The following is a 12,755-nucleotide window of genomic DNA, read 5'->3' as shown; positions in this document are numbered from 1 at the left end:
CAAAAATAAATGTGCAAAGGAAGAGGAAGTACACAGAAGAGGAAACCTAAATTGCCAACAAGCACATAATATAATGATCAATCTCATTAGTTAGTTACTGGGCAGATGCAAATTAAAACCATAATAGGCCCAGCATGGTGGCTCAGGCCTGTAATCACAGCACGTTGGGAGGCCGAGGCGGGTGGATCACTTGAGGTCAGGAGTTCCAGACCAGCCTAGCTAACATGGTGAAACCCCTGTCTCTACTAAAAATACAAAAATTAGCCAGGCATGGTGGTGGTCACCTGTAATCCCAGCTACTCCAAAGGCTGAGGCAGGAGAATCGCTTGAACCCAGGAGGCAGAGGCTGCAGTGAACCAAGATAACACCACTGCACTCCAGCCTGGGCAACAGAGTGAGACCCTGTCTCGAAAAAAAAAAAAAAAACAAAAAAAACCATAATAAAATATAATTTCACATCTTTTAATTTGCCAAGGATTACGCAGGTTGGCAATATCAAGAGTTAATGTGGAGCCACTGGAACCCTCATACACAGTGGGTAGGAACTGAAATTAGCATAACTACTTTGGAGAACAATTTGGTAATATCTAGGAATCTAGGAAAGTTGAATATGCACATACCCTATAACCCAGCCATTCCATGTCTATATCTTAGAGAAAGCGTTACATATTTTTCTCAATTCATGCATGAGAATATATATTGCAGTGCTATTTGTAATAGAAAAATGGTAAACATCCTAAATGTCTATACATAGTATGGATAAATAATATTGGCATAGTCATACAGGGGAATATTACACTACAGTAAAAATGAATGAACTAGAGCTAATATAGCCATACATGAAAAACACTCACAAGTATAACGTTAGATAAAAAGCAAGTTACAGAAGGCATATGCAATATGATAACAGTTTAAGACCCTATTAAACCACACTATATTGCTTAAGAATACACACATGTATAATAAAAGCATAAAGACATACATAGGATGATAAAGTAAAAATTCAGGATAATACTGCAAAACACCTCTAGGGAGGAGGTCAGGTTATAAAGAAGAGAAGGTAATGGGGAAAGGTCCGCAGGAGGCCTCAACTGTATCCATAATGTTATATTTCTTAAGCTGGGTGGTATAACATAAGTGCCTTTCTGATATTAGTCTCCATATGCTATTTGTATGTCTGATGGTTAATTTTTAAAAATAAGTGAATATTTAAGAGTCTTGCTTTGAAAAGGAAAGAAACAATGGGGCTGAAAGAAGAACCTAAATAACGTTAGAATGTTAACACCTATCTATAGGCATCTCTGGGTCTCCTTACTCCAGCTCCTCTCTCTAATCCACATGACTTGTTTGGAAACATTAAAGATAAATAGGATTAAAAGAATGGTTAAGTAAGTTTGAGGAATGCTGGGTAAAACAAAGCTAAATATGCGCTCTTTTCTGCAATACTTGTCAGAGTCTTTGAAATGCTAATGGCACTGTGAATCTCTGAGTGGGAGAGAGAGTCAGCAGTGTTTCCCCCCTTAAAGTCAGGAACCATTTTTCCATGCAGCATCTCAGGGCAAGGGTTTTCCATGAAATACATTTTGGAAAATGTGTCCCCAGATGTTTCATTTTCCTGTCACCAGCCTCTATCCCCACGTCTCATCCTGCCCACAAATTCCACTTCCTTATCAACCCTCATGTCTTTGTCATTTCGTTTCCATCTTTCCACAAGCATAGCTTTCCCAGGCTTTTGTCTTTCACGAAGGCAACATGGCGTCGTGAAAAGAGCACTTAGCTATAAATCTGTGAGCAATCCTCGCCTCAGTGCTTCTTAGCTGGGGCACCCAGGGTGGGTTATTTAATTTCTCTGTGCGCCTTGGTTTCTGTCTACAAAAGGGAGAGAAGAATCGAATCATTTACCCCATGGGAGAGTTGTGAGTATTGAGTTCATACCTATATAGTGCTTGATACTTTTTATGAACTTACAAAGTGTTGACTAGATTTATATAATAGAGAGAAGGTAATAGTTTACCTACCCCAAGAGTCTGCTTTTGGAGACTCCATTAATTTCCCAGGGCTGCCACAACAAAATGAGTGGTTTAAGCAACAGGAATGTATTTTTCTCACAGTTCTGGAGGCTGGAAGTCCTAGATCAGGGTTGGTTCCCTCTGAGGGCTGTTAGGGAGAATCTGTTCCCAGCCTCCTCCCCAGCTCCGGGAGGCTTGTTGGCAGCCTTTGGTGTTCCTTGACTTCTGCTACACCACCCGATCTCTGCCTTCATCTCCACATGGCATTCTCCCTGCATGTCTGTCTCCAAATTTCCCTTTTTAAATAAGAACGCCAGCTCTATTGGATTTGGGGTCCACCCTACTCCAGTGTGCCCTCATCTTCACTAAATATGTCTGCAACGACTCTATTTCTAAATAAGGCCACACACATTCTGAGGTGCTAGGGGTTAGGACTTCAACATTTGAACTTTAAGGGGACACAATTCAGCCCATAACAAAGACCAATTGAAATCACATCTATGAAAGTGCTGTTAGATTCTTGTAAAGAGTTACAGAATGTAAGATTCTGCTTTTGTCACAAATGACCACATCTTAAAGCATCTAGTAACACTTCATTGGAGCATACAGCCAGAGCTTGCCTTTGTGTACCTGAGACAGCTTTTTGGAACAATATTGAGCAGAGTTTGTCCAGGGACTCTTTAAAGTGCACGCTTTCTGTTTGGTTCTAAATCTATTGCTGGTAATTGATTGTTTTACCTCAACTAACAGAGAAAAGTCCATCTTGTTAAGAATTACTCAATACATGGGGTTTGCATATAAAAGGAGCTACTGCAGTATGCAGAGAGATTAAATAATTTCTTGGAGGCAAGAGCTCCATGAAATTTCTCAAATTAGCTGGGCCATTCCATAGTGAAACTAAATGGTGAATCTAGCTTTCCTCAGGTGCAGGCTTGTGTTATGCCCGCTGGCCCTATGCTTTCTTCAGGGGACACTTTTCCAACATTGTTTCCCTAGAGAAGAATTCAGAATGACATTAGGCCATTCTGAATGTCCTAGCAAGACTGTTCATATCAAAATGACTTTTTCATATGGTTAAGGTGAAGCAGTATATAGCACAGTAGTAAAAAGCATGAACTCTGACGTCCAGCTTCCTGGGTTTACATCCTAATTCTACCCGTGGGATCTTGGGCAAGAGACCTCAGCAACCATCACCCAATAACCATACTCACCTGTTGTGGCTGCTGTGAAGACTGAATGAGATAATCCATGAAACAGAACAGTGTCTGACACACACGCTGCACTCAACAAATGGTGGTTATTATTACTCTCAGTGTAATGACAGGCCCTCAGAAAAATCACTTTGAGATAACCTCTTCCTTTTGAATTGTGAAAAATAAAAACAGTTATCCCAACCAACACAATCACTTCCAATTTTATATATTCTAGTTCCTGTGGATACCTGGAGTATGAATATAATGTTGTACTGTGCCATTTGAATGTTGGCAGTTTTTATGTTCCCAAGCAGTTGTTCTTAACAGCTGTATCAAATTCAGTTAAGTTAATATACAGTGTTAGGTCATTCTTGCATTGCTATAAAGAAATACCTGAGACTGGGTAATTTATAAGAAAAGAGATTTAGTTGGCTTATGGTTCTGCAGGCTGTACAGAAAGCATGTTGGCATCTCCTTCTGGGGAGGCCTGAGGAAGCTTCCAATCAGGGCAGAAGGCAGAGGAGGAACAGACACATCACATGGCAAGAACGGAGCAAGAGACAGAGAGAGTGGCAGGGAGATGCTACACACTGTTAAATGACCAAATCTTGCGAGAACTCAAAAGTGAGAGCTCACTTATCACCAAGGGGATGGCCCAAGCCATCCATGAGGGATCCGTCCCCATGATCCAAACACCTCCCACCAAGCCCAACCTCCAACACTGGGGATTACAATTCAACATGAGATTTGGGCAAGGACATACATTCAAACCATATCATACACCACCTTTTACCTAACAGTCCTCCTATGGTTTGATATCTGGACTTTGGGGGTTTGTTACTGATTAATATCACTTTGTGCAAGCTAGTGAGCTTTTTCCCCATTAAAACCAATAGACCAGGGCAATCTCCCTCAAACTTCTGCCTAAGTGTCTTTGCTTTAGTTTAGCCCTCCTCCACTGTTGTTTTGACCTAAATCACCTTCCTCATAATCTGTTTCCTCATATCTCTGTTCCCCAAAGTCTAGATAAAAAACCACATCTCCATTATTGTTTCTTATTCTCCCTTTGCAGATTCCAGGCTCCCCATTCTGTTCCTTACTGTGTATGTCACCGTGGATCTATTTGTAACTCCCTACAACCCACCCCACCATAGAGCTCACAAGCCCCTTCTAGGGACATCAAACTGGGTAGATCACAAGAATAGCACCATTTGCCATCCCATATACTCCCCTTCCCACACTGGGTATGTTTGTAGAGTCTAAAAGAGAAACAAAGCATCTTTTTCTTTTTTTGCCCACCAAACTCCTGCTCATCCTTTATCACTAGGCTCAAATGTATCAGCCTCTGTGAAACACTTTCATTTCCCCCGCCAGGGCTCACCGCTCCCTCATACTAGTCCCAGGGCACTTGCTACGTATTTTAGTATCCTCAACAATGAACAAAGATTACACATTGAACATGCTCAAAAATCTGTTTGCAGATAAGTCAGTTATGGAGAGACCTGTATATAAGAAGTTGGAAACTGCTTCAGTTGTCTGTTTTGACAGGATTGAATGAGAATATAGCAAAGGCTTGGGAGTCAGACACTTTGATTTGAATATTAACTCTACAATGTGCTTGTTAGGAAACCTTGGGAAATATAAGCCAACCTTTCTGAGTCTCAGCCTTCTCATCTGCAAAATGGGGTCATCTCTGTCACTGACTTCCTCAGAACGCTGATGTGGACCAAATGGGATGATAAATGCAAAGCACACAAGCGCATGGTTTAAAGTGGTATTGATTAAGGCTAGCAAAGAATTTGAGACCAGCCTGGGCAATATAGTAAGACCTTGTCTCTACAAAAAAATGTAAAAAAAAATTTAATCAACTATGGTGGCACATGCCTATAGTCCTAGCTACTCAGGAGGCTGAGGCAGGAGGATTGGTTGAGCCTGGGAGATTGAGGCTCCAGTGAGCTATGATCGCACCACTGCACTCCAGCCTGGGTGACAGAGAGAGGCACCATGTCTTAAAAAAACAAAACAAAACAAAACAAAACAAAAAAACAGCAATAACTATCCTGAAAAGTCAAAATTGGCCAAAAATATTATCCCCTGTTGAATTTTGTCAACAAACCCCAAGTTCCTACCTCTTAAAATATAAATGGGGGCAGTACCATTAGCTTACCAGGAGCTAGAAGCCGATGATTTCAAGGAGTTTCCTGTCTAACTATTGATGGGTATATTCTGCTTCTGCTTCAGTCTCTCAATATTTTTTGCCTGCTCTTTTCAAGGGTGTTCTATTTACCATAAAGCACTGCTAAAAGTATGCCTCACCCTGTCCTCCTCCAACTCTCAGTCTTCTCCAGGCCTTTCCCACAGCTACTCTGCGGCCTGAGACTCATTCCGTGGTTGCCTTTTCTTTGAGCTGACAATTGTTTCTAGCCATCCTGCTAAGAAGTGTGAATTAAATGTTTGATCTAGAAGGGTTGATGCATCAAGTCATGAATAACTATAGCTCATTGATTATAACTAATAACTAATCTAATAAAAGATGATTGACCCCAAAGGGTCACCAAGTGGCATTGTTATGAACAGAAGAGGAGGAAACAGAGAGAGGGAAGAAAATGGAGATCCAGATGGGATTCCCAGAATGAAGCCCCAGGCAGCCAGAGGGTAGTATACTGTATGCATCTCTTGGGAAAGGAAGGGAGTGTATAAAATGGAGGAAAATGGAAGACAGGGGAAGAGTGGTAGCCCACATCAAGCTTTGCCAGAGGCCAACCTTTCTGTCTGCAGTGACATTCGTTTGCAAGGTTGGTGAATGGGCTACAGTCTCTGAATAGATAAATGAGGGAAGACAAAGTCACCAGGGTCCAGCTGAGCTCACAGGCCTGGTTAGCACTGGGGGACCAGTGCTGGCTAGTAACAGGTATGCTTACTAGAGGCTGTCAAACCATCCAGGGGCAAGTAAATATGTACCCACTGGCCTTAGAAAGACTCTTTAAAAACTTGAAGCTCTGCCTTTGATTTAGGTCGATAAGATATAAGAGATTATTAAAATGTAAAAGGTTGCTAAGGAATAAAACTAAAGCAATGCCAAAGAGCCTAATCTAAATGCAGACAAAAAATAAACTCACAGCTCTGTTTGCTTGGCCCAGATGCCTGGAGCATCTTGAAAGAAGGCACATTTCTGCACCTGAATAATGTTAATCTTGGGTTTAGAAAGAGGTAGAGTGAATATGGAGACTGCTCAAAATCACTTCTGATTATACTTAAGATATTCTGGGAAACCACTCAAATATTTATTTAAAAATTGCATTGTGGAAGACATGGTACTAGAAAATAATGATAACCACAACTAACTTTATTATGATACCTTACAGCCGACTCAAAGCTTTTCACATGGTGGAGGATATTCACTGATATCCAAATAATGTGCAACTGTACAATGCTGCATGAGCCATGATTATCTCCCTTAAAGAGTTTACAATCCAACGAGAGAAGAAAGGGACATACACAATGTAATATAATACAAGTTGGATGATGACAAGGGCTGTAATAAAGGTAATAATTTATGATTGTCTAAAAGTAGGTTACATAAAGGGAGTATTGTTTAAAATGGACTTTGAACATTTGATAGGTGGAGGTGTCAGATAGATATTTTAAGCAAAGGAAAACATCACGTACAAGGGCAGGAAATAGAAAATTGCAGCATGTGTTCAAAGAACAAGTAATGCAGGAAGGATAGGTTGTGGTGGACATCTGTTACTTTTGCTTACTCAGTATTCACTCTCTATTCTCTTTGTCATAGTAACTCTTTTCCCTTAGGGAAGCCCATCTATTCTTAGGATCTGAAAAGTAGAGTTGACCCCACTGCTGGATTCAGAGTGGGGCCTGTGATCATGACTTGGCCAATCACTACCTTTATCTTCTTGGATGGAATGATTTGTTTAGAGCTGAGCACAGAACTCAAGTCAACCAATGTGCCAAGACTAAATCCCAAGAATTTTGTTGGAATTTTAGGAAAGAGTCAATCTCTTTCCATGAGATCACTAGCTGTGAGGATAACGTAAGTCTGGAATTTCTGAGTCTCTCTGAGGAGAGTGCTCACCACCGAGAGAGACCAGCACATTTATACACTTAGATGTTGCCATGATGGAAGAGACAACACATTCTCTCAATGTTTAGCCAGTCCAAATTGCTTTCTGTCACTTGTAACCATAAAAATCATCAATCCATAGCTGAGGACAAATTGGAGAGTCTTGAGTGCCCCACCAAGGAACTTCATTCTCTTATCAACAATAAGTAGAGTCACAGGAGGTTTTGGGAAAGTAATAGATTTTGATTCTCCCCACCAAAAACAGTTTGAAGGCAGTGTCATACGCAGGAACTGGGTAAAAGATTTTTACAAAGGCAAAGTCACTGGTAGGAATTGTGGCTCTTTGTGAGTTCTCTTTGTGAGTTCCTGGACTCATCATTGTCATCATTTTGGAAGCTTACTGTGCCATAGGCATTGTTCTAAGCACTTCACACACATTAACTCATTTGATGCTCATGCCAACCCCACAAGACAGGTTCAGTTACTCTCATTTAACACTCACACCAACTGTATGAGGAAGGTCCAGTTATTATCCCCATTTTACAGAAAATTTTGTTCATTTTTACCTCTAGAATAAAATTTCAAAATAAAATTTCAAAACAGTGAACTGCAAATAGCAGTTCACTATTTTATCTCCACCATCAAGAATAGTTCCTGGGACATTACAGGTTCTCAATAAATATTTGCATAGTGAAATGAATAAATGAGTGGTTCAGGCAGCATGATGTCTCTTCCTTCAAATTCTCTCCTGAAATGCTCCCATTAATGTGATCACCTGGGTAACCCAGAGGAGCATTACTTCTGTGTATAATTAATCATTTATGTCAATGTGATGAGAATGCAGTGAGACCCCTTATTATTGGAGCTGGTAGCCTGAGGTGAGTAGGAAGTAGGTGGTAACTGCAGGGGCACCAGGGAGGCATGGGCACAAAATTGAGGCACAAGCAGGTTAACAAATCCCCAATGTCTCACAACTAATCGAATGGCAGAACCAGGATTTCAACCCTGGGAGTCAGGTCCCAGAGCCTGTCCACAAAAAAGACAAGTGCCAACACCATGAAGTTTTGCAAGCTCCAAATTTCCTTCTCCAGTGGCCCATCCTTTCTCCCCACTAACCTGGAAGTCCATATTTAGAATCACTTATTTGACTTAGGAAAGGTAGTTGGGAGTGTTGTTTCTAGAATGTCCCTGTTATATTGTCACTTGAGTAGGAGAATAGGGCCTGGCCTTTTCCCATTGAAACATCAACAGAGCCTTAAAGGGCACAGGTAAGTTTTGTGGGTTTGTTTTTTTTTTGTTTGTTTGTTTTTTTTTTTTTTTTTTTTTGAGATGGAGTCTCGCTCTGTCGCCAGGCTGGAGTGCAGTGGCACAATCTCGGCTCAGTGCAACCTCTGCCTCCTGGGTTCAAGGAATTCTCCTGCCTCAGCCTCCCAAGTAGCTGGGATTACAGATGCCCACCACCATACCCAGCTAATTTTTGTATTTTTAGTAGAGACAGGGTTTTACCATGTTGGCCAGGATGGTCTCAATCTCTTGACCATGTGATCCGCTGCCTGGGCACAGGTAAGTTTTAAAGAGAAAAATGTGGAGGAATTAGGATATTGGGGCACTACTCAGGGAAATACTGAATCTCCCTGGTGTTGGCAAAAGCGCACCTGGTGTGGGGTTAAAGAAAAAAGGGGCACAGAGAGAGAATTTGTTTCCTAACATGAATATCATGTCTCCTTCAAAATGTAGATTTCTGTCAAAATTCCCAAAAGCACATTCTTGCAATGCTGTGCATACTTCCATAAATGGCCCTTGCCTGTGTTGTTTCAGTCAGTCCTTGGATACAGCAAGAAGAAGTCGAGCCTCCCAAGTACTGTCACTGTCAAGTTCCTTCTCTCTGCCAGACCTTCCCACAGCCCCAGATGGTGTAGCTTCTCCCTCCCTCTCATTTCCTGAGCAGGTGGGAGAAAGGAAAGAGTTAGAAAAGAGGCAAGAAGCATAGAATTTGCCAGTACTAACCCTGGCTCTCACCCACCCATCCAGCATGGCTGGTGCCAAACTGGCAGTAGATTTGTAAGTGTTTGAAGTAGCCCCAGGCCCATGCCTCCCTGGTGCCCCTGCAGGTACCACCTACTTCCTACCTACCTCAGGCTACCAGCTCCAATGGGGGTATCATTGCATTGACATAAATGAGTAATTATACACAGAAGTAATGCTCCTCGGGTGACCCAGGTGATCACATTAATGGGAGAATTTCAGGAGAGAATTTGAATGAAGAAGCATCATGCTTTCTGAATCACTCTTTTATTCATTTCATTAAACAAATATTTATTGAGAATCTATGATGTACCAGGGACTACTTTTTTTTTTTTTTTTTTTTTTGAGATGGAGTCTCGCTCTGTCACCCAGGTTGGTGGAGTGCAATGGCGTGATCTCGGATCACTGCAACCTCCACCTCCCTGGTTCAAGCAATTCTCCTGCCTCAGCCTCCCAAGTAGCTGGGATTACAGGCGCATGCCACCACACTCAGCTAATTTTTTTATTTTTTTATTTTTAGTAGAGACAGGGTTTCACCATGTTGGCTAGGCTGGTTTTGAACTCCTGACCTCAAGTGATCCACCCGCCTCGGCCTCCCAAAGTGCTAGGATTACAGGCACAAGTCACCGTGCCCAGCCAGAAGGGCCTATTCTTGGTGATGGAGATAAAATAGTGAACTGCTATTTTCATGGAATTTTATTCTAGTGGAAATAATGAATAAACAAAGTAATAAATATACAAGCTCATGACCTATGATAAAAAGTGCTATAAAGAAAAATAAATCTGGATAAGGGTAGTTAGAGAGGAAGGGATTGCTAATTTAGGAAGGGTTGTCAGGGAAGTCTTCACTGAGGAAGTAGAGGCAGCAGCAAGCCAAGTGAAACTGGAGGGAACACTATACCCCTGCTGAAGGGGAAAAACAGGAGATGATCATTCTTGGCATGTTTGAGGATAAGAAAGACTGTGTGGCTGGAACAGAATGAACAAGCAAAAGAGTTACAGGCAGTGAAGCTGGTGAAGGAACCATGGGCTCGATAAGAATTTTGTATTATATGTATTTTTAGGACGATGGGAAGCTATTGGCGGATTTTTGTGCAGAAGAATGATATAAAGTGATTCGTATTTTAAGAGGTGATTAAGGCAGAAAGAATATAAGAAGGCAAGTGAGGGAGCAAGGAGACCAGTTGATCTAGGTGAGAGATGAAGGTGCCTGGACCAGAGTGATAGTGGTGGAGGTGGGAGAAGTGGGAAGGCTGTAGATAGATTTTGAAATTTAGAGGCTTCATCTCATTTTGTGGCTGTGTCAAGGAAACCTCTGATGACTGTTTTACTTGCCACTGGCTCACCTGTGATGTCAGCCATGCAACTGACATGGATAGTTCCCAGGAGCTCACCTTCACCTGGCTCTCTCTCCAACACTAAAGTAGCCTCCTTGTCCTGCAGGCAGGCACACCCAGGAGTACAGGCTGGAGGCATTTTTATGCCAGGAGCAACCCTTGCCCAACAGGGGACTGGAGCTACAGGGCTAAATATTCCAACCTATCTTTCAGGTGGAAGATTCTAGAAGGCATTCTATATACTTCTCAAAGATCCAGCCTACATCGGTGACCTTGGACACACCCCCTCATGTTGACTTGTCCTCCTTCCCTGTTTCACTCTCCTGACTCTCTCCCGCTGTCCTCACTCAATTTCTTGCCTGAGTCTCTGGTTTGAAGGAACTCAACAAAGATAGGGCATTTCCCACTCTATCTATTCCTTACTTCCCATAGTTCTCTCTTTATGCCCAAGGTTGTTGAGGAAAACTTCCAGGAGACATATCCGGGGAAAACATCCGGTCTATCATTTTCTTTCACGGATCTATGGGGTTTACAACCAGAAACAGACCTTCCAACCCTCAAATTCTCCAAAATAGCCATCATCAATCCCCACTTCAAAGATCCACATCTACAGCCTAGTTTGTGAAAATTCAATTGAAAACCAATTGAGCATTAAAGGGGAAAATAATCAGAGACGTCTTCTAGGCAGGAGAATATAGGATACTATAAACAAGGTATAGTCTCCAAATCCATAGATGACTTTGTAATGGACCTGAATGGACACATTGCAGAGTTTATGAACAATAAAAAGACAGAGATGCAGCTGAGTGATAATTCAGCTGAGAGATAATATACTTCAATGCGACTTGGCAAGAATCACTTAAAATGCATTGGCTGGTAGGTTCTGAATGTTCTTTATTAGAAATGACTATAGATTAAAGAGATATGAGACAAGTGAGTAACACAAAGCAGAAGAAATCCTTAAATCAAAATAGACATTTTAATAACTATGCTTTAAATAAATCCCCCTCTGAAGTCTTCTAATGTTTAACAGCTGCAAATAAATATGACACTGGGAGAAGCTAATCAAAAAGTTTAATAATGCAGGAAACAAAAGAGCAAAAAAGAACCTGAAACACCACGTCTTCAGCCCCTTTAGGCTTCTAGCCTCTCTCCCTCTCTGGTGCTACCACACCCCCCAGTACCCCAACACCCCACAGGTTGGGAAGCCTTCTAGCTAAAACCTGTGGAGCTAGACAGCCTGGGTTTGAATCTCAGCTCTGTCATGGTTCATCTCTGTGTGCCTGGGCAAGTGTCTTAGCCTTCCAAGCCTTGGTGCTCATGGCTATAAAATGGGACTAAGCCACCTGATAGGGTTGTTGCAAGAGTTAAGTGGGCTAATATATATGAAGGCAGAGTAAATACTCAATAAAATGTCAGCTATTGCTTTACTATCTTGCTAAAGCAGCAGAAGAGAGCTAGAGTAAAAAGAAAACAGATTGAAAGAACAGAAAATAGAGGGAAAGGGAGGCTTAGAGGCAACTGAAAGTTTGCTAAGTCACAACGATATTCAGGCAGTGCAGCCAGGCAGGCTGACTAGCTGGCCTGGGTTTAGATGGGTTGAAGCCCCACCTAGTTAATAAATTATGACTATCACTCCTGCTTTGGCTTTTGAATTATTAAACCACAGAGAATCCACAGGATGTAAATCTTACAATCCTTTAAGAAATCAATATGGTAACACATATCAAAGGCTATATTGTATAGCTGTAAACACTGTATCCCACTCCTGGGAATTTATTCAAATACAATTGAATACAGGGTTGATAACCCCCACACAGTCGAAGATCTACATGTAACTTTTTTTTTTCCTTGGAAGTGTAACTGTCACCAAACCATGTATAACTTTTTCTTAACTTTTATTTTAGGTTCAGGGGTACACGTACAGGTTTGTTATATAGGTAAACTCAAATCATAGGGGTTTGTTGTACAGATTATTTCATCACCCAGGTGTAAGCCTAGTTATTACACCTGGTTAGTTTATTAGTTATAATAATAACTAAAAGTTATTTTTAGTTAGTTATTTTTCCTGCTCCTCTCCCTTCTCCTACCCTTCACCCCCTGGTAGGCC

The sequence above is a fragment of the Homo sapiens genome, chromosome 12 (genome assembly GCF_000001405.40).
Source record: "Homo sapiens chromosome 12, GRCh38.p14 Primary Assembly".
Lineage (NCBI taxonomy): Eukaryota > Metazoa > Chordata > Mammalia > Primates > Hominidae > Homo > Homo sapiens.
Note: the sequence above shows the minus strand (reverse complement) of the source record.